The following is a 25409-nucleotide window of genomic DNA, read 5'->3' as shown; positions in this document are numbered from 1 at the left end:
TCTCTCTCTCTCAACTCTACTTCCTTTGTCATATCTTCTCTGACTCCTGTTTCCTTCTTTCCCCTGTGATTACATTGGGCCACTCATATAATCCAGAATAACATCTTCATCTCAAAAAACTTAACCATGATCGGGTGTGGTGGCTAACGCCTGTAATCCCAGCACTTTGGGAGGCCGAGGTGGGCGGATCACTTGAGGTAGGAGTACAAGACCAGCCTGACCAACATGGAGAAACCCTGTCTCTACTAAAAATACAAAATTAGCCAGGTGTGGTGGCGCATGCCTGTAATCCCAGCTACTAGGGAGGCTGAGGCAGGAGAATTGCTTGAACCCGGGAGGTGGAGATTGTAGTGAGCTGAGATCATGCCATTGCATTCTAGCCTGGGCAAAAAGAGTGAAACTCCGCCTCAAAAAAAAAAAACAAACAACAAAAAAAACTTAATCATATCTGCAAAGTCCCTTTTGCCAATGTAAGATAATATTCACAAATTCTAGGGATTTGAACATGGACATTTTGGGGAAGGGGGTCATTATTCTGCCTACCATAATGACCTTGAAAACTTTTCTCTTTTTTTTTTTTTTTTTTTTTTTGAGACAGAGTCTCGCTCTGTCGCCCAGCCTGGAGTGCAGTGGTGCGATCCTGGCTCACTGCAACCTCTGTCTCCTGGGTTCAAGCGATTCTCCTGCCTCAGCCTCCCGAGTAGCTGGGATTACAGATGCCTGCAACCACACCCAGCTAATTTTTGTATTTTTAGTAAAGATGGGGTTTCACCACCTTGGCCAGGCTGGTCTTGAACTCCTGACCTCATGATCCACCTGCCTCAGCTTCCCAAAGTGGTGGGATTACAGACGTGAGCCACCACACCCAGCTGAAAATTTTTCTTAACCTACTCATTTACTCATACACAATGACGCATGCCACTGATATTCAATATATGTCAAGACAACACTGGAGAAGAAAAATATCTCTCAAGATTTCTTTCCAGCCAGGCATGGTGGCACCCTCCTGTAATCCCAGCACTCTGGCAGGCTGAGGCTGGCAGATCTCTTGAGACCAGGAGTTCGAGACCAGCCTGGGCAACATGGCGAGACCCTAGTCTCTATAAAATATACAAAAATTTGCTAGGCGTGGTGGTAGTCATCTGTAGTTCCAACTACTTGGGAGGCTGAGATGGGAGGATCACTTGAGCAGGAAGGTCAAGGCGGCAGTGAGTTATGATTGTGCCACTGTACTCCAGCCTGGGTGGCAGAGTGACAACCTGTCTCAAAAAAAAAAAAAAGATTTCTAACAGGTTTATGGAGATATAATTCACATACCATACAATTTAAGCATTCAAAGCATTCGATTCAATGGTTTTCAGTATAGTCACGGGGTTGTGCAACTATCACCAATCAATTTTAGACTATTTTTATCTTTCTCCCATTTTGAGAAAACAGAGGCTTGAGACATTATGGAAACCTGCTTAGGGTAGCATCCACTGGAAAGGCATTGCAGTGGCTGTTACTAGCTGAGATTCCAGTCCAGGTTATACCTTTCATGAAGCTAGGCCAGTCACCTTGAGGCAGAAGAACAGGGTCTGGAGGCAGGGAACCTAAGGCTGTTTCACGCCGACTTCCTAGAATTAAATTAAAAGGAAAACCCGGCTGGGCACAGTGGCTCACACCTGTAATCCCATCACTTTGGGAGGCCGAGGCGGGCAGATCACAATGTCAAGAGATTGAGACCATCCAGGCCAACATGGTGAAACCCCGTCTCTACTAAATATACAAAAATTAGCTGGGCATGGTGGCATGCACCTGTAGTCCTAGCTACTTGGGAGGCTAAGGCAGGAGAATCGCTTGAATGGGGGAGGCAGAGGTTGCAGTGAGCCAAGATAGCGCCTCTGCACTCCAGCCTGGCAACAAATAGAGACTCCACCTCAAAAAAATAAGAAGAAGAAGAAGAAGAAAAAAGAAAACCCTGGCCGGGCATGGTGGCTCACGCCTGTAATCTCAGCACTTTGGGAGGCCGAGGTAGGCGGATCACGAAGTCAGGAGTTCGAGACCAGCCTGGCCAATATGGTGAAACCCCATCTCTACCAAATATACAAAAATTAAATGGGCATGGTGGCACGCACCTGTAGTCCCAGCTACTTGGGAAGCTGAGGCAGAAGAATCGCTTGAACCCAGGAGGCAGAAGTTGCAGTGAGCCGAGATCCTGCCACTGCACTCCGGCCTGGGCAACAGAGCACAGAGCCAGACGCTGTCTCCCAAAAAAAAAAAAAAAAAAAAAAAAAAAAAAGGAAAACTCTAACTTTCCACTCCTAAGTAAGGACAAGAACAAAAGGACCAAAGGCTACTCCCTTTGACGTTTCCCGCATGGCAGATGGGAGATTGGCAGATGGGAGATTGGCTGTCTGCAACAAATCATAGGAGTGTGGGTCCAGTCTTCGTTTGCAACTTTGTAACTTCACTCCAGCCTCTGAATGGTGGCTGAATGGTTGCTGTCTGCAACCAATCAGACTGATTATCGCTACCACTTCAGTTACATGAAGTAAGCGTAAAGTTCCCAATGGGAAACTTCTAGGGGGTATTTGAACCCAAGAAAATTCTGTATCTCGGGTCCCCTCCCACACTGTGGAGTGTACTTTCGTTTTTGTTTTTTGTTGTTGTTGTTTGTTTTGAGACAAGTTCTCGTTCTGTCGCTCAGGCTGGAGTGCAGCGGCACGATCCAGGCTCACTGTATCTTCTGCCTCCTGGATTCAAGTGATTCTCATGCCTCAGCCTCCCAAGCAGCTGGGATTACAGATGTCCACGACGACACCCGGCAATTTTTGTATTTTTAGTAGAGACAGGGTTTCACCATGTTGGTCAGGGTGGTCTGGAACTGCTGACCTCAAGTGATCCCCCCACCTCGGCCTCCCAAAGTGCTGGGATTACAGGCGTGAGCCACCGCGCCTAGCCGTACTTTCGTTTTCAAAAAATTCCTGCTTTTGTTCTTTTGTTGCTTCATTCTTTCTTTGCTTTGATGGGCATTTTGTCCAATTCTTTGTTCAAAACGCCAAGAACCTGGACAACTTTCAGTCATCACCCTCTACCGCTAACAGACTGGGAGCAGTGTGGTGTAGTAGCTAAGCCCCATGGAGTGATTAAGCGAGCAGGTAATCTGGGTTCAATGTTTGGTTTTGCTCTCCATATCAGCTATGTGACCTTCAGTAAAATCTCTGGAAGCCTTGCTTTTTTCTCATTTGAAAAATAAGGTCCGGGCTCATGCCTGTAATCCTAGGACTTCGGGAGGCCACGGTGGGTGGATCGTTTGACCTCCGGAGTTCGAGACAAGCCTGGGAAACATGGTGACATCCCGTCTATACGAAAAAAAAATTATATATATATATGTGTGTGTATATATATATATGTGTGTGTATATATATATGTGTGTGTATATATATGTGTGTGTATATATGTGTGTGTGTGTGTATATATATATATATATATATATATATATATATATATATATAAATTAGCTGGGTGTGCATCTGTAGTTCCAGCTACCTGGGGGGCTGAGGCGGGAGGATCACCAGAGCCCAGGAGGCGGAGGTTGCAGTGAGCCACGATCGCGCCACGGCAGAGGTTGCAGTGAGCAGAGATTGTGCCACTGCACTCCACTACAGCCTGGGCGACAGAGTGAGCCCTAAGAAGGAAAAAGGAAAGGAAAGGGCAATTTAATCCATGGTAGTTATCATTATCTGTAAAATGAGGTAGCCAGACTCACCTGTAAGATCCTTTCCAGCTATGTAATTCCAAGCTTCAATGAGATAATAAAGATGATTAAAAGTAAATTCTTTCAGCATCCTGTGCAAGAAGAGGGATACAATTTCCCTGAAGACAGAGACTCTACTCGCTTCCGCTGTACCCTCTGGCACGTGGCACAGGTCTCAGAGTTTCTCACTCATGGGCCTCAGGTGGGTGAGAGAGCCAAAGCGTAAAGTCCCTTACAAAGGCAGAGAAGGATGTAGAGTTGGGGGCGGGGGAGGGATTGGGCAGGCCTTGGGGTGGTCTGCCCAGAACTGGACAATGGTACTGTGAGTGTAAACAGGGGTGTGAGAGTCCAAAGGCAGATCTTCCCCAAGGCTAAGCCCAGCCTCTGTGTGCGGGCTAGAGGGGAGAGGGAGTGTGCTGGAAGGATGGTTCTGAAAATAAATCTTCGGAGTCGCGTAGGGTTTTCAGACCCGACACCACGCGCCGCCGGGTGGCTGCCGCAGCGGCGGCCTCCTCCCACCACGCCCAGCCGTCCACTGGATTTGGTATGCTCAGCCACCACCATAAACCTCCTTCCTCTAGCAGGCAATTGGTACAGCCCAAGCTCCTGGAGTAGAGACGCAAAGAAAGACACGCCCATTGTTACGCCCCTACCTCTGAGTGGCTGGAGAATTTAAAGATCCAGTCGGTGATTGGGTGATTTTCTGCCTCTAGCATTTGAAAAATTTCTAGTTTCGGAGCTTAGCCACAGGCCGGCTACGATCTGCTTGTTCATCTGAGTGTCGGCACAAGTGAGTGTCTGCCCGAACCCAGAGGTGGGGAGCAAAGAGCCTGATTTATCTAGGGGTTTCCGGCGGGAGGGTGCAAACAAATGGGTCAGCCTGAGGGAGCACGGCTTCTAGGGTCCCAGGGTCCCCCGCGATTTCCCTAGCCGAATATTTTCCACCTCGTCCCCACCTTGGTGGTGGGAAGCGCGAGGGCATGGGAATCACACTGACTTTGACTACTAGCCGCTGTGGCTTATGAAGGGCAAGTGAGTTTCCCTCTCTTAGCCTGTTTCCACGTCTGTACACGGGGAAGAGTGAGACCTGCCCGCTGCATATAAGCCAGTGAATGTACCTACAAGGCAGAAGTCGCTTATTACACGGCAGCCCTCTTTGCATCTCCCCACGGGCGATTCTCCTGCTTCCTGGGGAGAGTACTCTGAGGATTCATGTGCTCGCCCTGGGTCTCGGGGAAGGAGGATTCTTTCTGCGCAGGGACCCCTGTTCTAGTGAGGTCCTTGCAGGACACCTGAGGCTCCCTAATCCTCGGTGCCCATCCGCCGCTCTGGAAATTGTTGTGTAGCACGGTGTGTGTGTATATGTGTGTGTGTGTGTGTGTGTATATATATAGAAATTGTATATATATTGTGTGTATATATATATAGAAATTGGATATATAGAAATGGAAATTGTGTAGCAGGGTGCGTGTGTGTATATATATATATACATATATATACACACACACACACACATATATATAATGTATGCATATGTATGTATTTATATGTATGTATTTTTTTTTTAATTAGAGGGTGTCGCTATGTTGCCCAGGATGGTCTCGAGTTCCTGGGCTCAAGCGATCTTCCTTCTTCAGCCTCCCAAAGTGCTGGAATTACAAGCGCCCGCCACCACGCCCGGCTAATTTTTGTATTTTTAGTAGAGACGAGGTTTCACCATGTTGGCCAGGCTGGTCTCAGAACTCCTAACTTCAGGTGATCCGCCCACTTTAGCCTCCCAAAGTGCTGGGATTAAAGCGCGAGCCACTGCGCCCGGCCCAGGGCATATTCTAAGGGTGGATTTTCGGTTAGCCCAAAGCCCTTTCTCCGTCTTTGTGACCTCTTTGTGTTACCAGTGACAGTCCTCGTGATCTTGTGTAGCCTTGACCCTGCTCCCTGTCACGTCCTTTATAGCACCCATTACGTCCCCTATAGCACCCATTACGTCTCATGAATCCTCATGACCCCTGTGCTCCGGTGTCTTCGCAGACCAGCAGAGGCGGTGACGATGCTCTCGGGCATAGAGGCGGCGGCAGGGGAATATGAGGACTCGGAGCTGCGGTGCCGCGTGGCTGTGGAGGAGCTGAGCCCGGGCGGGCAGCCGCGAAGGCGCCAGGCCCTGCGCACCGCGGAGCTGAGCCTGGGTCGCAACGAGCGCCGCGAGTTGATGCTGCGGCTGCAAGCGCCAGGGCCCGCGGGGCGGCCGCGCTGCTTTCCTCTGCGCGCCGCGCGCCTCTTCACGCGTTTCGCCGAGGCCGGGCGCAGCACCCTGCGGCTCCCCGCCCACGACACCCCCGGGGCCGGCGCAGTGCAGCTGCTGCTCTCGGACTGCCCCCCAGACCGCCTGCGCCGCTTCCTGCGCACATTGCGCCTCAAGCTGGCTGCGGCCCCGGGTCCCGGGCCGGCCTCCGCCCGAGCGCAGCTGCTGGGCCCGCGGCCCCGCGACTTCGTCACCATCAGCCCTGTGCAGCCCGAGGAGCGGCGGCTCAGGGCGGCCACCCGGGTTCCGGACACTACGCTGGTGAAGCGGCCTGTGGAGCCCCAGGCTGGGGCCGAGCCTAGCACAGTGAGGACGGGAAAGAAGGGACACCTTTAGGAGTAGATGTGCCATTCTTTAAGATGGCAGAGACCTAGAGACCCAAGTTTGAGGGGAAGCCGGTGTGGGTATTTGATACCCATCTGACATCTCAGTATGACAGGGGTGTGGGAATTGTGCCTGTGGTTGTTATAGTGTAATCCCTGAGATGGAGTAAATCAAAACAGGAAATGGGACCTGGCTACATTAAAAGAGAAAGCAGAGGCCGGGCATGGTGGCTCACGCCTGTAATCCCAGCACTTTGGGAGGCTAAAGTGGATCACCTGAGGTTAGGAGTTCTGAGGCCAGCCTGGCCAACATGGTGAAACCTCGTATCTACTAAAAATACAAAAATTAGCCAGGCGCGGTGGCGGGCGCCTGTAATCCCAGCTACTTGGGAGGCTGAGGCAGGAGAATAGCTTGAACCCGGGAGGCAGAGGTTGCAGTGAGCCTAGATCGCGCCACTGCACTCCAGCCTGGGTGACAGAGCGAGACTCTTCCTCAAAAAAAAAAAAGAGAGAGCGAGAGAGAAAGAAGAGAAGGAGGCTTGCAAAGGACTACAGAAAGAATGCTGGGAGAGGGTAATAGGCCCAGAGTAGAGGAGCTTATGGAGAGAATGAAGTGGTCATTCGTGTCCTGGGCAGCCAACAGTTGAAGCAGATGAGGGGAAAAAAGTCTGGTGGGTTTGACAATTTTCATGGGCTGGGGCAGGTGAATCATAGCCCACCAGGGTTTGACACTAAGCTGGCGAGAGGACAGAGACAGGATAAGAAGGGGCCCTGGCTAGACAGGGTTTTGCTTGGGTATTTTGAGGTGAGAAACAGGTTTGTGATAGGAAGAGAAACTTAGGTGACAGGAAGGAAACTTTAGTGACAGGATGAGAAGGGTTAGGGAACCCAGGGGAAGGAGCTAAGGGAGGGTGTAGACCACACTGGTGTGGTCTGCCCAGGACTGGACAATGGGGGTCTTCAGGGCACAAGGAGAGATCGGGACCCCAATAGTTGCTGGCAAGCTCTCCAGGCAAACCCAAGAGCTCCATGGAATGAAGGCAGTAGAGGACAAAGGGTTACCAGGCCCAGCATTGCACATGGGCCAAGAAGGGTGGGGGCAATGCCTAGCGGGTGGGAGGATGCTCTGAGATAGCTCTGTTCCCCCCAGGAAGCCCCAAGGTGGCCCCTGCCTGTGAAGAGGCTGAGCTTGCCCTCCACCAAGCCACAGCTTTCTGAGGAACAGGCTGCTGTGCTGAGGGCCGTCCTGAAAGGCCAGAGCATCTTCTTCACTGGGAGTGCAGGTAGTGGGGGCAGAGAGGAGGTAGGGGGACAGTGGTGGGGTGGGATAGAGGAACAGGGAGACCTGTCTAACTTTGCCCCTGTCCAGGAACAGGGAAGTCATATCTGCTAAAGCGAATCCTGGGCTCACTGCCCCCCACAGGCACTGTGGCCACTGCCAGCACTGGGGTGGCAGCCTGCCACATCGGGGGCACCACCCTCCATGCCTTTGCAGGTAAGTAGGAACCCCTAGGGCTTGAGCTAAGAGCAAGCCCAGCTTCTGGGAAGGGAGAGAGGGGAGGTCTGCATAAAGAGGGAGTTTTGGGGGCTGGGCGCCGTGGCTCACTCTTGTAATCCCAAAACTTTAGGAGGCCAAGGTGGGAGGATCGCTTGAGCCCAGGAGTTTGAGACCAGCCTGGCCAACACAGTAAACCCTGTCTCCACAAAATTTAAAAATTAGCGGCCGGGCGCAGTGGCTCACGCCTGTAATCCCAGCACTTTGGGAGGCCGAGGCAGGCGGATCACAAGGTCAGGAGATCAAGACTATCCTGGCTAACACGGTAAAACCCTGTCTCTACTAAAAATACAAAAAAATTAGCCAGGCATGGTGGCAAGCGCCTGTAGTCCCAGCTACTCTGGAGGCTGAGGCAGGAGAATGGCGTGAACCCAGGAGGCAGAGCTTGCAGTGAGCCGAGATCACGCCACTGCACTTGAGCCTGGGCGACACAGCGAGACTCCATCTCAAAACAAAACAAAACAAAATTAGCTGAGCATGGTGGTGTGTGCCTGTAGTCCCAGCTACTATGGAGGTTGAGGTGGGAGGATCGCTTGAGCCCATGAGGCCCAGGTTACAGTGAGCCAAGATCGTGCCACTGCACTTCAGCCTGGGTGACAGAAAGAGACCTTCTCTCAAAAAAAAAAAAAAAAAAAAAAAAGAGAGGCTTTGGGTATTAGCCCAGGCTGAATAGTGTCACTCACAGGCATCGGCTCAGGCCAGGCTCCTCTAGCCCAGTGTGTGGCCCTGGCCCAAAGGCCAGGCGTGCGGCAGGGCTGGCTGAACTGCCAGCGGTTGGTCATTGACGAGATCTCAATGGTGGAGGCAGACCTGTTTGACAAACTGGAGGCCGTGGCCAGGTCAGTATGTTCAGAGGGCAGCAGGTGAGAACTGGGACCTGGTGGTCTTCTGTGTGCCCCTAAAGCACCCCACGCTCCTCTCCAGAGCTGTCCGGCAGCAGAACAAGCCATTCGGAGGGATCCAGCTCATCATCTGTGGGGACTTTCTGCAGCTGCCACCTGTGACCAAGGGCTCCCAGCCCCCACGGTTCTGCTTCCAGGTATTACTCACCTCCTAGCTCTGCTCTCCTTGGGGGTCTGCTCTGCTCCTTGACCCACCCCCACCCTGCCCCCACCAGTCCAAGAGCTGGAAGAGGTGTGTGCCAGTGACCCTGGAGCTGACCAAGGTGTGGAGGCAGGCAGACCAGACCTTCATCTCTCTACTGCAGGCCGTGAGGCTAGGCAGGTGAGCTCTGCTGGTTGGGGAAGGGGCTATGGGATGAGGATCCAGGCATGGGCCACAGTGGAACACAGAGAGGGACTCACAGAAGGGGTAGAATTGTTACCCTCAGGAGCAAGCACTCCATGCAGGAAGAGGAGCCTTGGGCAGGGCACTGGACAACTCAGGATGGATTGTAGTCAAGACCATCATGGCACCATAGGAGATGGTTGCTCTGAGTGCTGGGACCTAGCCTCCCTCAGGGTTGGGTCTCCATCACCTAGCACAAGGCCTGGCATAAAGTAGGTGTCAGGGGCTGGGCACGGTGGCTCACGCCTGTAATCCCAGCACTTTGGGAGGCTGAGGCAGGCGGATCACAAGATCAGGAGTTTGAGACCAGCCTGGCCAACCTGGTGAAACCCAGTCTCTACTAAAAATACAAAAATTAGCTGGGCGTGGTGGCACGCACCTGTAGTCCCAGCTACTTGGGAGGCTGAGGCAGGAGAATCGCTTAAACCAGGGAGGCAGAGGTTGCAGTGAGCCAAGATCATGCCACTGCACTGCAGCCTGGTGACAGAGCGAGACTCCGTCTCAAAAAACAAAAACAAAACAGAAACATAAGCTAGATTTTTCACCCAAGGTAGGAGGCAAGTGGATAGAAGATTGTACCCTGGAGGCCAATCTGGGTCCTGCAAATCTCCAGCCTGTGCTCACTCATCATAGCCAACTTCCTCAGGAGTATTATGGAGTGCGAGGGTGGCCAGCTCTGACCTGGGGCAGCACAGGGAAGGGTGCCCACATGTGATCAAAGCTCAGTACCCTGCCCCTGCTTATTCCCCATGTTTGGGGTCCAAGTTTGGAAGGGACAGGTTGGCCAGCTTGAGGGGGCAGCAACTCTTCCCTGGTGCCCTCTTCCAGTCCCAAGGCCTGACCCATGGCCTGCTGCTTGAGCCATCCTGCCCATGTTCCCCACCTCCCCTGCTGCACAGGTGGGCTCTGCCCTGACAGTCCAGCCCCAACAGGTGTTCAGATGAGGTGACCCGCCAGCTCCAGGCCACAGCTTCCCACAAGGTGGGGCGAGATGGGATTGTGGCCACGAGGCTCTGCACCCACCAGGATGATGTGGCCCTCACCAACGAGAGGCGGCTTCAGGAGCTGCCAGGTGAGCAGGGAGCCTGGGCTGGGCAAGACCAGCTGGGAAGAGTTATAAGCAGATGTAGCCCCCAGGCAACCTGGGCCTCTGGGTCCTAGGCCCCCAACCTCTGAAGCCATAAAGGCCCTCATATTTGCAAATGCAACTGTGACTTTGAGAGGTGTGATGAACTAAATTCCACAGCCCCCCAGGCCTGCGCTGCCTCTACTCCCTACCCCCGTGCTCTGGTCTAATAGTTTTTTTTGGAGGCTGGGAGCGGTGGGTCATACCTGTAATTCCAGCACTTTGGGAAGCCGAGACAGGCAGATCACCTGAAGCCAGCAGTTCGAGACCAGCCTGCCCAACATGGCAAAACCCCATCTCTACTAAAAATAGAAAAAAATTAGCCAGATGTGGTAGTGGGCACCTGTAATCCCAGCTATTCGGGAGGCTGAGGAGAATTGCTTGAACCCAGGAGGCAGAGGTTGCAGTGAGCCGAGATCACGCCTTTGCACTCCAGTCTGGGCAACAGAGCGAAACTCCTTCTCAAAAAATAAAATTAAATTAAATTAAAATTTAAAAAAAGTCTTTTTTGGGATGCTGAGTCACAAGTCAGTGATTTGTGATCTGTTTGCTCAACTCTTTTTCTCCAGGTAAGGTACACAGATTTGAGGCTATGGACAGCAACCCTGAGCTGGCCAGTACCCTGGATGCCCAGTGTCCTGTTAGCCAGCTCCTTCAACTAAAGCTGGGGGCCCAGGTGAGTGGGAAGCAGGGCCTAGCCCCTGGGAGCTTGGGCTGTCCCGCATGGGCCTTGCTGATCCCTACCCCTCTGCCCAGGCCACTCTGCAGCCAGTGGGCCCAGCTTTGACCACACTGAAAACCTCCCTGCCTCCTGTTCCCACCCACCTTCCCATCTTAAGCTTTCTACTGTTTTTCTCTTCCTACACCAGGAGGTCCTCCAAGCAGTGTTGTTTTGGGCAAATTTCTTTCCCTTGCTGAAGCTCTGTCCCCTCATCCCTAAAAATGGGGAATGAAATACCTACCCCACACAGCTGTCTTCTGTAGTATACTTTATAAACAGGAGACAGTCCTGATTCCTCCCTCAATGTTGGGGGTGGGCAGAAGATTTTCCTTAGGGCACCCAAGGGGAAAATGCAGGCACAGTGTATCTGAGAGGGGTGGCAGGACCTAGAGGCCATCCCTCAAGATCTGTGGTCCACAGATGTACCTATAACCAAGCCAATCATTTTCAAAGCCCTGTGATAGAGGTTGCCTTATTGATCCCTTACCACCTCCTTCTGGGGCAAATTGAGCAAATATTATTCCTCTTTGACATAAAGAAAAATTGGGACCGAGGAAGATAAGGCAACTTGCCCCAGGGGTCACAGGCAGCCAGTGGCAGAGCTAAGGATTGGGATTCAGTGTCCCCATGACAGCTCCCTGCCCTCAGCCTCTGAGAACAGCCATGGCGAAGCTAAGACCAGGCATGGGTAGGGGGGCTGCTGTCCATTCCTCTCTCTCCCTTGCAGGTGATGCTGGTGAAAAACTTATCGGTGTCTCGGGGCCTGGTGAATGGTGCCCGAGGGGTGGTAGTTGGGTTCGAGGCAGAAGGGAGAGGTAAGTGTTGGGAGGAGGTGGCAGTCCTGCTACGGGGCTTTGCAGCATGGCCCCGGGAATGGTGGGGGGAGAAAAAGACTAGGAAGGAAAGCTCCAAAGGCCCCTGCTCCTCACCTCAGAGCCCTGAAGCAGAGCTAAAGTTGGACTGCTCCATGCTCTCCTTAGGGCTACCCCAGGTGCGGTTCCTGTGTGGAGTCACTGAGGTCATCCACGCTGACCGCTGGACGGTGCAGGCCACCGGGGGCCAGCTCCTCAGTCGGCAGCAGCTGCCCCTCCAGCTGGCCTGGGCGATGTCCATCCACAAGAGCCAAGTGAGCACCGGTGTGGGGGGCAGGGACAGGGAGGGCAGAGGGAGGTCAGGCATGTTGCAGTCTATGTGTCTTTTTTTTATTTTTGAGACAGAGTCTTGCTCTGTCGCCCACGCTGGAGTGCAGTGGCGCGATCTTGGCTCACTGCAACCTCCACCTCCCAGGTTCAAGAGATTCTCCTGCCTCAGCCTCCTGAGTAGCTGGGACTACAGGCGCATGCCACCACGCCTGGCTAATTTTTGTATTTTTAGTAAAGATGAGGTTTCACTTTGTTGGCCAGGATGGCCTCAATCTCCTGACCTGGTGATCCACTCACCTCAGCCTCCCAAAGTGCTGGGATTACAGGTGTGAGCCACCGTGCCTGGCCTATGTGTCTTTTTTTATTTTATTTTAGTTTAGTTTAGTTTTTGAGACAGAGTCTTGCTCTGTCGCCCAGGCTGGAGTGCAGTGATCTCGGCTCACTGCAAGCTCCGCCTCCCAGGTTCACACCATTCTCCTGCCTCAGCCTCCCGAGTAGCTGGGCTACAGGCGGCCGCCACCACGCCTGGCTAATTTTTTGTATTTTTAGTAGAGATGGGGTTTTGCCATGTTGGCCAGGCTGGTCTCGAACTCAGGTCATCTGCCCGCCTCGGCCTCCCAAAGTGCCGAGATTATAGGCGTGAGCCACCACACCCAGCCCAGAATAAACTTTTCTTTAGTGAATTTCCAAGTCCACCTCCTCTCCCTTTCCTGGATACATTCACTTCCCCTCTGCCATCTCCTGCCCCACCATTTTCTAAGCCACCACTAGATACGTAAAATTGTATAAATTGTATACAACCACTGTATCAAGTATAAAGTATAGATATAATGAATAATCCTATTTTGCACAGAAAGAAACCAGGGCTCATGTGTCCCATGTCACACAGTTAGTGAGTGGCAGCCTGGATTCAGCTCCACGCCTGTCTGACCCAGAGCCTGAGTGCTTTCCTTTCACTCCATCCCTCAACTCTTACCTGGATCTGTCTCCCGGTCCCCCTCCTACTCAGACAGCCACCTGCTGTCATGCTCTCCCTCTGTCTAGAGACTCTCTGGACTGGACGAGGAGATCCAGGGGCAGTAGCAGGGCTGGTAAAGGGTCAGGCCTTTCGGGGCAAGGGACTTAAGGCTGAGCTGACTCCATCTCTGTCCCTGCATCCCCCAGGGCATGACCCTGGATTGTGTGGAGATTTCTCTGGGCCGTGTGTTTGCCAGTGGCCAGGCCTATGTGGCCCTTTCTCGGGCCCGCAGCCTGCAGGGCCTACGTGTGCTGGACTTTGACCCCATGGCGGTTCGCTGTGACCCCCGTGTGCTGCACTTCTATGCCACCCTGCGGCGGGGCAGGAGCCTCAGTCTGGTAAGAGGGAGTCATCCAGTGGTGGGCTGTGGCCACGGGCAGGGTGGGAGCTAGGACAGAGGGAGCGCCGGCCCAGTGGGACCTGGGGTGGGGGCAGAAAAGCCCTCTGCTGGCTCCTTTAGGGGTGAGGGCAAAAGGAAAGAGATGCTGGCCCCCAGGTTATGGTCCTGGGGAACAGCACAAACCCATGACTGGGCTTCTCTGGCTCTGATCCAGGAGTCCCCAGATGATGATGAGGCAGCCTCAGACCAGGAGAACATGGACCCAATCCTCTGAGCCTCACCCACAAAGAGAAGACAAAGGGTGGCCTGTGGCCTCCCCGTCCTCCTGCTCCCTAGTGGCCCAGGGCCCCAGGGAATAACTGGAGTAGGCAGGCAGTGTCCCCTTCTGTATTTTTTAGGGACTCTCAGCCTCCTGGCAGGGTTAAAGGGAGAGTACTTTAAACCCATATACCAGCTGTGCTTCAGTTTCTCTCACTTTGCCCTGGGTAAGCTGCTGTAGGGTCAGAAGTAACCCTTTCTGTGCCAGTTGAGAATGAGCCTGTGTGGTAGCTGATGTCAGAGGACAAAGCTCTCTGCAAGGGCTGGACACAGAGCTGCAGAGTCCTGAACATCCCTCCTTTCAGGCTGCAGAAGGGAGAGGCAATGAAGACAGGTGCTCCGGAAGCAGCATCAGGGCTCTTGGAGGGGACTGGTGGGGACTCAGGCTGGGTGCAGCCTCCAAACAGAGAACGGAACTTAGGTGTGTCTCTACAGCTAGGCCCAGCCTAGCCCAGCCCAGAACAAACACCCTTCAGAGCCTAACCAAAGAACATAAGCTGCAAAATGTGCACCCATATTTTAAGCTGCTTTTTCAGGGGATAAATAGTGTTTGGGGACATTGAAATGGATGTTCTCAGGTTGTATTTATTTCGGACAAATAAACTAGAGAATTGTGTAAAAACTGTGCCTCCTGCCTCCTCTCTCTCCCCCTCTCACTTGTGCATGTGCACACACGTGTTTGTTTAGGCCACAGTGGCTGAGATCACACCCTTCTGTGAGGTGGTCTTAGTATCACTGGTCGTTTGAAAAGCTGAGTTATCTGATGTTGGTGACTAGCAATAAAATGACATTGTCACCGGGCATGATGGCTCACGCCTGTAATCGCAGAACTTTGGGAGGCCGAGGCGGGTGGATCACCTGAGATCGGGAGTTCGAGACCAGCCTGACTAACATGGAGAAACCCCATCTCTAGTAAAAATACAAAATTAGCCAGGCATGGTGGTGCATGCCTGTAATCCCAGCTACTCAGGAGGCTGAGGCAGGAGAATCACTTGAACCCGGGAGGTGGGGAAGTGGAGGTTGCAGTGAGCTGAGATTGCGTCATTGCACTGCAGCCTAGGCAACAAGAGTGAAACTCTGTCTCAAAAAAAAAACAAAACAGAAATGACGTTGTCATTTGGTGAAGGTGAGTTACCATCACCCAATAGTCAGACATACTAGAGAATTCACGTGGTGGGAAACAAACAGGCCTGCTATATGTTGCTGCATTTGCTAGGAGCCTGGGTTGAAATTTCTCAGTTTGAGCCTTGATGGTCTCCCCAGCTTGAACCTGATCATCAACAAACTAACTTCAGTTTTTCAAAAAGCCTGATGGAAATTGCCCAGGGGTCCTCATAGGCTAGCTAAAACTAAGATTCTCTGCTTGTGAGTGAAAAGGTATCGATTCTGGGTGGTAAATATGGGTTATGATGGAGGCATGCATTGGCAGCTACAGGTGTCAGATTAATAAAAAAGGTGGCTGGGGCCGGGCGCAGTGGCTCACGCCTGTAATCCCCAGCACTTTGGGAGGCCAAGGCGGGCGGATCACGAGGTCAGGAGATGGAGACCATCCTGGCTAACACAGTGAAACCCCGTCTCTACTACAAATACAAAAAAATTAGCTGGGCATGGTGGTGGGCGCCCGTAGTCCCAGCTACTCTGGAAGCTGAGAATGGAGTGAACCCGGGAGGCGGAGCTTGCAGTGAGCTGAGATTGCACCACTGCACTCCAGCCTGGGTGACAGAGAGAGACTCTCTCTCAAAAAAAAAAAAAAAAAAAAAAAGATGGCCTGATAAGGTGGCTCACACTTGTAATCCCAGCATATTGGGAGGCCAAGGCGGGTGGATTGCTTGAGCCCAGGAGTTCGAGACCAGCCTGGGCAACATGATGAAGCCCTTGTCTCTACCAAAAAACAAAAATTTGCCGGGCACAGTGGTGTAGTCCCAGGAGGAACTCTGGAGGCTTGAGGTCAGGGGTTCAAGACCAGCCTGGCCAACATGGTGAAACCCCATGTCTACAAAAATTAGCTGGGCATGGTGGTGCCACCCTCCCTGACCTGGAGAAGTCAATTTTTTTTTTTTTTTTTTGAGACAGAGTCTCGCTCTGTTGCCAGGATGGAGTGCTGGAGTGCAGTGGCACGATCTCAGCTCACTGCAACCTCTGCCTCCCTGGTTCAAGCGATTCTCCTGCCTCAGCCTCCCAAAGAGCTGGGATTACAGGCACATGCCACCAAGTCTAGCTAATTTTTGTATTTTTAGTAGAGACAGGGTTTCACCATGTTGGCCAGGATGGTCTCGATCTCCTGACCTTGTTATCTGCCCACCTTGGCCTCCCAACTGCGCCCGGCTGAGTCAATTGTTTTTCTGTGACACAATTTCTTTTCTCTGTTCCAAACAGAAGACACTCTTAGGAGCAGAAAACAAGCCCACCAGAGTGACACCTCCTTCCCCTACCCCACAACAAGTGGGCAACCATGGGGGTCTTTAAATGTGGTGCCATTTATATGTCAGATGTTCCCAATTTCCCCATGCAACACATCCCTTCTCCCAGGTCCAGCTGTGAGCAGGTCACACTGAGGCCCTGCCCTCAGGGCAGTTACAATCTGGTTGCACTTTGCTGCTTTCACTCTTTCCTTCTACTGAACACACGGTCTGGGGACCACCCAGTTCAGCCCAGATAGCACTATCTCATATTCTCTAACAGCTCTGCAACCTTCGGTGGTCTTGGATGGAAAGAGGAGAAACTGACTCAGGATAATTGAAGCAGGAAAGGAAGATAACAACAGGCTATCTCAAAGAACTGATATGAAGCCCAGAAAACTAGGCTTGGAAACAAATAGGAATCAGAAAGGCTAGAGCCACTGGCAGGAGTAGAGCTGGGAGCAGTCAGGCCAGGAAGACCTTTGCAGCCGCCACCAGACACTGAGCACAGCTGCCAGGGGCAGGAGCTCTGCACTCTGCTACCTCCTCCCCCGATTCAGTTCAGACCTAAAGGCGGGTATGGGGCTGGGTGACCTTGGTCTCCCATGCAAGTCCTGTGGCTACTGGCAAGAGGCCAAATGTTTCATCAAGTTGCAAGAGGGCCTAGTGATTCTGTCCAGGATGACTCTCTAATCACCCCCGAAGGCCGGGTTGTTGGGGATGTCTGAGGGTCCGGTGATGCAGTTATCTTCTGCATCCTCACCTGGGACTCCTCTCTCTGACTCCATCCTCCACACATGGCTGAGGCATCCCACTCACCCAGCCCCTTCCCCTTCCGCAGGGGCTGATCACAGCTTTTCCCAGTCTCATATGCATCTGTCCTGCTATATAAAATGTCTTTCTCGTGAGACTACCTGGGCACCGGAAAGTCCTCTCCTTAGCAATCCCTTCTCATGGTGAAGATGCTCTCTGGAAGGCCCCCAGAGGAAGACAAGTGAGTTCCACATGGTGGGTGAGCTCCAGACATTCCTGACCCGCATGCCAGATCACAATAGTGGATTATTTTATGAGGTGTGCAAGAAACCTCACGGCTCTCTATTTTCTTGACATCTAATTTAACTTAACTTTGAGCCTGTATCCCGAGGGGTGTAGGGAAACCCTATCTCAGTCAGACAGGAGGCTCCTCAATCCCCAGGGTCAAATGAGAGTGGGGCTTATAGGAGCCGCTCTCATCTTCAGGGCCCGCCCTGATCACCATCCATAGGCAGTAACTCAGCCTGGGCCCTGGGATGGGGTGGGAGGCTTTCTGAGACTCTCCAGTACCTCATGCCAGGCCCTCTGGGCCCCTGCCACCTCCCTGTGGTGCTCCCAGAGGACCCTCTGACCACTTGCCCCTCCCCAGTCTATGGAACCCTCCTTCTCTCTGCCTCTCCTTCCCCCCAGCATCATCCTCTCAAGGAACTTTACCTGTGAAGCAAAGGCCAGGAAAGACTGTGTCCTCAGATAACTTCTGGATTTGAGGCAAAGAAGCACAGGGAGAGCCATATACGGTGGCTCGCACCTGTAATCCCGGCACTTTGGGAGGCTGAGGTGGGTGAATCACTTGAAATCAGGAGTTTGAGACCAGCCTGGGCAACAAGGTGAAACCCATCTCTACCAAAAATACAAAAAATTAACCAGGCATGGTGGTGCGTGTCTGTGGTCCCAGGAGGCTGAAGTGGGAGGATCACTTGAGCCCAGGGGGCAGAGGTTGCAGTGAGCCAAGATATCATGTCACTGAAACTCAGGCTGGGTAACAGAGTGAGACTCCAGCTCAAAACAAAACAAAGCAAAAATACACACACACACACACACACACACACACACACACACACACACACACACACACACCCAGCACATGGAAAGGGGCAGGCAGACAGCAAGGGAATGAACAAAGAAATAAGGAAGGTAGAGAGCTTACCCTTAGGCGACCAGGACTTGCTACCTGCCCAAGAAAGCTGCCCTCATATAGCAGGGTGTGGGTGGAAAAACTCCAACTGCTTTTTCCTGTTCTCTCAACAGCAACAACAATTAACACAGAGAGAAGACTTCTGTGACCAAATGCAGGGACTTCTTCCCATCAACAAACAAGCAATTCTGTAGCGGACACTAGCTGGGTGTCCTCTAATTTAATTCTGAAGCTATCTACCTGGAGGCAGCCTCAGATCCCACAGGTTGAGGACTCAGTCACCAAAACTGACAGCCCCTTCAGACAGTCACAAGTCTGGGCCTCTGGAACTTCTGACCGACTGGCTTCAAGTTGGGGTTCCCAAGACCCCCCTCTTTTGGTTTGATTAATTTCCTAAAGTGAGTTACAGAACTCAGGGAAACACATTTATCACTTTATTAGAAAAGGATACGTGGGGGAAGGGGTGTGGAGCTTCCCTCTGTGGGAAAGCCTTCCTCCACTAATATCCACTTGCTCAGCTACCCAGAAGCTCTTAGAACCTCTGCTTTGGGGCCTTTTATGGAGAATTCATTATGTAAGCATGATTGATTAACCATTGGTCATCAATTTAACTTTCAGCTCCCTCCCCTCCCCTGAGGTCATAGGGTGGGGCTGAAAGTCCCAACCCTCTAATCCTGCCCTGGTCTTTCTGGTGACCAGCCCCATCCTGAAGCTGCCTAGGGGCTGCCGGCCATCAGGCAATCATCAGCATACAAAAAGACACTTATCACTTTGGAGATTCCAAGGATTTTAGGAGTTGTATGCCAGGAAATGGGGATGAAGACCAAATGTATATTTCACATTCTTACAGGCTGTGCCACTGCTGATGGGGGCAGGGGGCACCCCTTCATTTCTGTTTCCTTCCTAGTTGGGGGATTTCGCACTCTCCTCTCCACTCTCCCACAGGAAGGCTGGAGTTGACTTTGCCAGGTGGACGAGTTGGAGAAAAGGTGTTTGGAGAGAGGAGCTACACAGTGCAAATGCACAGAGATGTGAACTATCCTTGATGGACCTATGGTCCACTTTAAAGGCTTTAATGCAAGAGAAGGTGGTATGTGGGGAGGCTGGCCTGGCCCTGAGGGGGCTGAGCCCAGAGTAGGGGGCTCAGCCCAGGGCGATCCAGTCCCCAGCTGGGAGGCAGGCAGGGGGCCAGGCAAGAGGGGCGGGGCGATGGCCCTCAGAAAGATAATCTTATGACCTGACTTGTCACAGTTCCTGCCACTTCTCAAAGACATTCACCCTTGGAGGGGGAGTCCCACTACCTGCTGTCCCTCCACTTGCCTCCTGTGCCTTATGCTCCCTCCTCAGTGTCCCCTGGGATCTGCATCTGAGGGTAGTGAGCAATTTACAGCTCAGTCTCCCTGCTAGGATGAAGCGGATCCCTTGATCCCGAGAGACACAGCTGAGATGTCTTTGTGTCCTCACAACCCTCAGCAGGATGACTTTTGAAAGCAGATGCTTCATTAAATGTTTCATAAGTGAACAAAGGCTTGGACAGTGACCTGAGAGGTAAGGAATGTTTACTCCCATTCTGCAAAGGAGGTAGCTGAGGCCTGGAGAGGTTCTTAGTGGCAGAACTGGAACTAGAATAGAACCCTGAGCCCTGTGCGCTCCTTCACCCTGTCTTCAGTGGGGTGCCAACTAGGCCTGACCCCATCCTTTCTGACGTCCTGGTATATTTTTCCCATCCGCACTGGGCTAATGATCTTACTTAACCCCCAATCCCGGAGCAGCCGGGCCCTCCCGCTCCCCATGCACTGCAGACCACTAGGTGGCGCCAATTGGTCATTCAGTCCTTTCCCAGGGAACCGCAGAGCCTTTGTCTCCCAGTCTCTGGGCTTAGGTGGGGGGTGCATGGACACTTTAGGAGGTGGGGGCTGAGTTAGTGTAGAGCAGGGAAGTTTTAAATAATCTTCCATCAGATTATCTGCTTTGTGCTCATTAACCCTCTTGTTGGTTTGTTTTTGTTTTTGAGATAGGGTCTAGCTCTGTCACCCAGGTTGGAGTGCAGTGACGCAGTCAGAGCTTGCTGCAGCCTCGAACTCCTGAGCTCAAGCAATACTCCTGCCTCAGCCTCCCAAAGCATTGGGATTACAGGGGCGAGCCACCATGCCCGGCCTCATTAACCCTCTAGTTTGTTTTTCACAATAACCCTGGGAGGTTGGGACAATTGTCCCCATTTTATAAAGAGAGAAACCTAATTTCTTTTTCTTTTCTCTTTTTTGTTTTTTTGTTTTTTTTGAGACAGTCTTGCTCTGTCACCCAGGTTGCAGTGCAGTGGTGCCATCTCAGCACACTGCAACCTCTGCCTCATGGGTTCAAGCAATTCTCCTGCCTCAGCCTCCCGAGTAGCTGGGATTACAGCTGGCTAATTTTGTATTTTTAGTAGAGACGGGGTTTCTCCACGTTGGTCAGGTTGGTCTGGAACTCCCGACCTCAAGTGATCTGCCTGCCTTGTTCTCCCAAAGTGCTGGGATTACAGGCATGAACCACTGCGCATGGCTGAGAAACCTAACTTCTGAGAGGTTAGGTGACTTGGCTATGGCCACACTGCAAGCTGTATCTGGAACCCAAGTCCCAAATAAAGGGTCCTGGGATTTTTGCAAAGTCAGCAGAGAGCCCTGAAGCCAGATTCCTGTGTTTAAACACTGGCCCCATCAGTTCCCGACTGTGTGACTGTGGTTATTCTGCTTAAATCTGAGCTCTGGTTTCATCGTTGGTGAAATGGGGATAAAGCCGATCAAACATGGATGGAGTTAGGAAGACAGAAGAGCTGGAGTCAGGCCAGGGATGCAGCAAACCCTCAAGGTTAGCTCTTATTTATTTGTCTTGATTATTGTCACCTGAAGGGGCCATCCCCCGCCCCATTAACCCCCTCTTGAGCAGCCTCTGGGGAATAACAAAGAGAATTCACAGCAGCCCAGAGTAAATGAATGCCATCTTTCACAAAGCCTTCCTTCCTGTCTGGCCTTCTGGAGGACCTGGGCTGCGCCCACCCACCATGGGGAAGGGGAGGATGAAATCTCCCCACTCTGCCTCCCGCAACACACGTGAGGTACAGGTCCCGGTCAGTTAGTGCACTTGGGCATAATCCCCCTTCTGTCTTCTGCCCATTTTCTTATGAAAGCGACTTCGACAACTCTAAAGTGGAATTTTTTTTTTTTTTTGAGACGGAATTTCGCTCTTGTTGCCCAGGCTGGAGTGCAATGGCGTGATCTCGGCTCTCTGCAACCTCCCCCTCCCGGATTCAAGCAGTTCTCCTGCCTCAGCCTCCTGAGTAGCTGGGATTACAGGCATGCACCACCACGTCCGGCTAATTTTGTATTTTTAGTAGAGACGGGGTTTCTCCATGTCGGTCAGGCTGGTCTCGAACTCCCAGCCTCAGGTGATCCGCCCACCTCAGCCTCCCAAAGTGCTGGGATTACAAGTGTGAGCCACCGCGCCCAGTCTACAGTGGAATCTTTAGACCTAGTTTACAGAGGAAGTCAAGGCTCACAGAAGGTGGGTGGCCCTAGGTCATATGGCTGTAAATGGCAGATCCAGGTTGGGCATCCAGGTATCTGAGGCCTCACCTTGGTGTTCAGGGCCTTTGAAAAAAGGACTGAACATGGGATGCTTCCTTTCCCCCTAGCTCTGTCCCCAAAACTCCACAGGCCAGACTCCATTTCCTTAAGATTCCAAGAGCATCACCTGCTGGGACAGAAATGGCAGGGGGGTGCCCCTGAGTCCTTGGCCCTGGCAGGCCAAGATGGGAGGGGTGGGGCTTGAAAGGCTTAGAAGGTGACCTTGAATAGGGAATTGGAACCCTAAATTCCTGAGGAGGCCTGGGGCGGGGGCTGTGAATGAGACAGCCAGCCCATCTCCACTCCTCCCCCGCAGCTCCAGCTCCCGCCTTCAGCCTCAGCCTCCAGGCAGATGCCCGCCCCAGGGGTGCCCCCTCAATCCCCGCCCCCAGTGGGTGTTGGGTTCAGTAAGCAGAGCCCCAGCTCACCTGGGAAGGTGCAGAGTGAGGATGGCATCCAGTTACAAGCTAGGGCTGGGAGGACAGGCAGGGGCAGCCCGGGGGCAGGGGCCAAAGGTCTGGAAACTGATGGTGGGGGCAGGTGTCAGGGGAGGTCTCAAGACAGCCCCCCACTCTGCAGGCCCTATCCCCTTGCCTCCCAGAAAACCTCCACACTCCTGGCATCTGAAGACCGGGGCGTCTCCCCGCAGACTAGGCCTGTGCTTGGTAAACTGTGCAGGGCTCTGCGCACTCCTGGGAGGTTGTTCTCTCTTGCAGCTCCACTCCTTTCTCCCTTCCGCCAAGATGGCCTCCTCTCCCGCCCCTCTACTGGGACCTGGCACAGCACTCCATGCCTATTTAAGGCAAATCTCCTGATCTCCTTTTAAATAACATTCGCTCCTTGTTGTGGAGAAAGCAAGCAGGGCCTGAGCTCGGGAAAGGGGAGGAAACCCAAATATCCCATGGAGTGGGTCATGGGGGAGCACGGGTGGGGGAAGCAGGTATGTACTCCCCCTCCCAAAATGAGCCTTGAGAAGGTCCTTTCCCCCATCCCCTGAGTCCTGCTGGTCCCTCATTGCATAGGCCCTGGATTGGCTCGAACCCCTTCAGAGGGGCTGGGGCACTCCCAGAAGGCTAGGACAGGGCAGCTCTTGCAGGCGTTGGGGGAGGGGCATGGGGGGATATATGCTTTGGCTAAAGGAGGGGCATACCCAGGAAGACCGGCAAGGGCCATGGAGGGTCTGAGGTTGGATGGACATCTGACCTCACAGCCCACCCAGTGTGAACGATGCACCAAAACTGCTCTTTGTTAGAACCTGAGGCTCAGAGAGAGCAAAAAACTTGCCCAGGGTCACACAGCCTGAGTGGAAGGGTCTGAAATCCAAGCTGGCAGGCTCCAGATTTAACGCTTTCTCCCCTTCTCTGCCAGGTCTCCTTGTGCCAGGGACTATGTGACACAAGACTTCTAGGCCCTTTTCAGGCATCATTCAAAGCCCTGAGCACACACCCTTCCTCCGCCTGCCTTCCTCTCTTCTGCCTCCTCTCCAGACCCACCAGAGCTGCCTTTCCCAGGTCTTCGGTCCCTGACTCAGACCTGCCCCACTGCTACTTCCTTCTCTCCCACTTCCCCTCTTCCTAGTCTTTCCCCCAGGTGGCTGCCTCCCTGGCCTCCCTTCTAAGCATCGCTAATCCCCCTGTGGTCCTCATATGACTGAGACGCCCTCTCCAGGGTTCAAAAAGATGGTCAGGGATCTTTTACAGATCATGTTGCCTCCTCGGGACCAGGAGCTTACTCCTCAGGCATGTGAGCCCCAGCAGGCCGGCCCCACCCCTGTCAGGCTGGACTGGGGGCTGGGGGACCAGAGGGAGGAAGAAGCCCTAGCCTCGCCTTCCTCTGCTCACTGAGAACTGAAAAAACCACAGTGGTCAGTTGGTCCAGTGGCCTCACATCACAGATGAGCAAACTGTGGCTCAGGGAATGGGAAGGAAGGCCCCAGGGTCCCCACAGTGAAATAGAAGCTGAGCTGGGTCTGACTGGAGCCCCTAATAACCTAAGGTGGGGGCTTCATCCTGGGAAAAGAGGGTCTATTATAGGAGGAAATGCAGCCACTGTCACTGCCCCAGTGTTAGTGTGCTTGTTGGATGGGGCGGGGGCGGTGGTGCCTGGAGGTGGGAGTATGTGAGGGTGAACTTTGTGTTTAATTGGGGTGTACTTGATCTTCTCTGGGTCTTTCTAGCCTGGCTCTACCGTTAACCTCTTGTGTGTCATTGGGCAAGCCCCTTTCCCTCTTTGGGCCTCAATTTCCTCCTGTAAAATGAGTTGGAGAGATCTTTGAGATCCCTTCCAGCTCAGACCTCATGCATCTCCCATCAGCCCAGCCTCATCTGCCCACCTGTTTCCAGGCTCCTGCCCTGGCTAAGGTTGTCTCACAGCCTGCTGAGGCTCCCATGGCCTCTCTCAGAATGGTCTCTCTCAGCTGGGCGCAGCAGCTTATGCCTGTAATCCCAACACTTTTGGGAGTTCAAGTCCAGCCCGGACAACATGGTGAGACCTTGTCTCTACAAAAAATCAAAAAAACATTAGCTGAGTGTGGTGATGCATACCTGTAGTCCCAGCTACTCAGGAGGCTGAGGCAGGAGGATTGTTTGAGCCCAGGAGGTCAAGGCTGCTGTGAGCTGATAGTGCCACTGCACTCCAGCCTGAAGGACAGAGCAAGATCCTGTCTCAAAAAAAGAAAAGAAAAGGCCAGGCATGGTGGCTCACGCCTGTAATCCCAACGCTTTGGGAGACCAAGGCAGGTGGATCACAAGGTCAGGAGTTCAAGACCAGCCTGGCCAAGATGGTGAAACCCCATCTCTACTAAAAAAATACAAAAATTACCGGGCGTGGTGGTGGGTGCTTGTAATCCCAGCTACTCCGGAGGCTGAGGCAGAGAATAGCTTGAACCTGAGAGGCGGAGGTTGCAGTGAGCCGAGATCGCGCCACTGCACTCCAGCCTGGGCGACAGGGCAAGACTGTCTCAAAAAAAAAAAAAAAAAGAAAAGAAAAAAAAAGAAAGGACTGGGCACAGTGGCTCACACCTGTAATCCCAGCACTTTGGGAGGTCAAGGCAGATGGATCACTTGAGGTCAGGGGTTCAAGACCAGCCTGGCCAACATGGTGAAACCCTGTCTCTACTGAAAATGCAAAAATTAGCTGGGCGTGGTGATGCGAGCCTGTAGTCCCAGCTACTTGGGAGGCTGAGGCAGGAGAATCACTTGAACCCAGGAGGTAGAGGTTGCAGTGAGCCAAGATTACACCACTGCACTCCAGTCTGGGTGACAGCGAGACTCCATCTCGAAAAAAAAAAAAAAGAAAGAAAGAAAGAAAAGAAAAAAATTAGCCCAGTGCAGTAGCACACACCTGTGGTCCCAGCTACTTGGGAGGCTGAGGTGGGAGGATTGCTTGAGCCTGGGAGTCAAGGCTTCAGTGAGCCGAGATTGTGCCACTGCACTCCAACCTGGGTTACAGAGCAAGCCTTGTCTCTAAATAAATAAATAAATAAATAAATAAATAAATAAATAAAAGAATGGTCCCCATTTCCTCATCACATGCATTCAGCACATCCCTCCTGCAGTCTTGGACCCTGGCTGAGTTTCCTCATCTGACACAC

General features: G+C 52.6%; 1 protein-coding gene across 7 annotated transcripts, besides 11 other annotated features; it reads left to right on the top strand.

Moving 5' to 3' along the window:
- Positions 1 to 3059: 3059 nt before the first annotated feature.
- Positions 3060 to 14490, top strand: PIF1 (PIF1 5'-to-3' DNA helicase). 7 transcript variants are annotated; one of them, NM_001286496.2, is made up of 13 exons: positions 4475 to 4553; positions 5768 to 6344; positions 7512 to 7644; positions 7731 to 7856; positions 8602 to 8755; positions 8841 to 8955; positions 9034 to 9140; positions 10136 to 10275; positions 10899 to 11005; positions 11778 to 11865; positions 12031 to 12176; positions 13357 to 13548; positions 13765 to 14490. In NM_001286496.2, the coding sequence occupies exons 2-13, from the start codon at positions 5787 to 5789 to the stop codon at positions 13822 to 13824; spliced, it is 1926 nt and encodes a 641-aa protein (NP_001273425.1). In that variant the 5' UTR covers positions 4475 to 4553; positions 5768 to 5786; the 3' UTR covers positions 13825 to 14490. The 7 variants fall into 6 exon arrangements, with proteins under 7 accessions (XP_011520385.1, NP_001273426.1, NP_079325.2 ...); XM_011522083.3 differs by lacking the exon at positions 4475 to 4553 and adding an exon at positions 3060 to 3140; NM_001286497.2 differs by having other exon boundaries at positions 4475 to 4529; positions 14174 to 14490.
- Positions 4213 to 4342: an enhancer, noted in NCBI's record as "active region_9578". NCBI's record gives its function as "activates an Ori minimal core promoter by ATAC-STARR-seq in GM12878 lymphoblastoid cells {active_cell/tissue: GM12878}" and the evidence as "EXISTENCE:reporter gene assay evidence [ECO:0000049][PMID:35858748]".
- Positions 5532 to 6199: an enhancer, noted in NCBI's record as "H3K27ac-H3K4me1 hESC enhancer chr15:65116122-65116789 (GRCh37/hg19 assembly coordinates)". NCBI's record gives its function as "activates a minimal SCP1, AML or CMV promoter by ChIP-STARR-seq in primed H9 embryonic stem cells {active_cell/tissue: H9 hESC(primed)}" and the evidence as "EXISTENCE:reporter gene assay evidence [ECO:0000049][PMID:30033119]".
- Positions 5532 to 6390: a biological region, named in NCBI's record as "H3K27ac-H3K4me1 hESC enhancer GRCh37_chr15:65116122-65116789".
- Positions 5901 to 6390: a silencer, noted in NCBI's record as "silent region_6539". NCBI's record gives its function as "represses an Ori minimal core promoter by ATAC-STARR-seq in GM12878 lymphoblastoid cells {active_cell/tissue: GM12878}" and the evidence as "EXISTENCE:reporter gene assay evidence [ECO:0000049][PMID:35858748]".
- Positions 7741 to 8242: an enhancer, noted in NCBI's record as "H3K4me1 hESC enhancer chr15:65114079-65114580 (GRCh37/hg19 assembly coordinates)". NCBI's record gives its function as "activates a minimal SCP1, AML or CMV promoter by ChIP-STARR-seq in primed H9 embryonic stem cells {active_cell/tissue: H9 hESC(primed)}" and the evidence as "EXISTENCE:reporter gene assay evidence [ECO:0000049][PMID:30033119]".
- Positions 10139 to 10639: an enhancer, noted in NCBI's record as "H3K4me1 hESC enhancer chr15:65111682-65112182 (GRCh37/hg19 assembly coordinates)". NCBI's record gives its function as "activates a minimal SCP1, AML or CMV promoter by ChIP-STARR-seq in naive H9 embryonic stem cells {active_cell/tissue: H9 hESC(naive)}" and the evidence as "EXISTENCE:reporter gene assay evidence [ECO:0000049][PMID:30033119]".
- Positions 18351 to 18856: an enhancer, noted in NCBI's record as "OCT4-NANOG-H3K27ac hESC enhancer chr15:65103465-65103970 (GRCh37/hg19 assembly coordinates)". NCBI's record gives its function as "activates a minimal SCP1, AML or CMV promoter by ChIP-STARR-seq in primed H9 embryonic stem cells {active_cell/tissue: H9 hESC(primed)}" and the evidence as "EXISTENCE:reporter gene assay evidence [ECO:0000049][PMID:30033119]".
- Positions 18857 to 19364: an enhancer, noted in NCBI's record as "OCT4-NANOG-H3K27ac-H3K4me1 hESC enhancer chr15:65102957-65103464 (GRCh37/hg19 assembly coordinates)". NCBI's record gives its function as "activates a minimal SCP1, AML or CMV promoter by ChIP-STARR-seq in primed H9 embryonic stem cells {active_cell/tissue: H9 hESC(primed)}" and the evidence as "EXISTENCE:reporter gene assay evidence [ECO:0000049][PMID:30033119]".
- Positions 20887 to 21394: an enhancer, noted in NCBI's record as "OCT4-NANOG-H3K27ac-H3K4me1 hESC enhancer chr15:65100927-65101434 (GRCh37/hg19 assembly coordinates)". NCBI's record gives its function as "activates a minimal SCP1, AML or CMV promoter by ChIP-STARR-seq in primed H9 embryonic stem cells {active_cell/tissue: H9 hESC(primed)}" and the evidence as "EXISTENCE:reporter gene assay evidence [ECO:0000049][PMID:30033119]".
- Positions 22918 to 23425: an enhancer, noted in NCBI's record as "NANOG-H3K27ac-H3K4me1 hESC enhancer chr15:65098896-65099403 (GRCh37/hg19 assembly coordinates)". NCBI's record gives its function as "activates a minimal SCP1, AML or CMV promoter by ChIP-STARR-seq in primed H9 embryonic stem cells {active_cell/tissue: H9 hESC(primed)}" and the evidence as "EXISTENCE:reporter gene assay evidence [ECO:0000049][PMID:30033119]".
- Positions 23933 to 24441: an enhancer, noted in NCBI's record as "H3K27ac-H3K4me1 hESC enhancer chr15:65097880-65098388 (GRCh37/hg19 assembly coordinates)". NCBI's record gives its function as "activates a minimal SCP1, AML or CMV promoter by ChIP-STARR-seq in primed H9 embryonic stem cells {active_cell/tissue: H9 hESC(primed)}" and the evidence as "EXISTENCE:reporter gene assay evidence [ECO:0000049][PMID:30033119]".

This window comes from Homo sapiens, chromosome 15 (genome assembly GCF_000001405.40).
Source record: "Homo sapiens chromosome 15, GRCh38.p14 Primary Assembly".
Classification (NCBI taxonomy): Eukaryota; Metazoa; Chordata; class Mammalia; order Primates; family Hominidae; genus Homo; species Homo sapiens.
The sequence above is the reverse complement of the archived record's forward strand: the minus strand, read 5'-3'. Positions and strand labels throughout refer to the sequence as shown.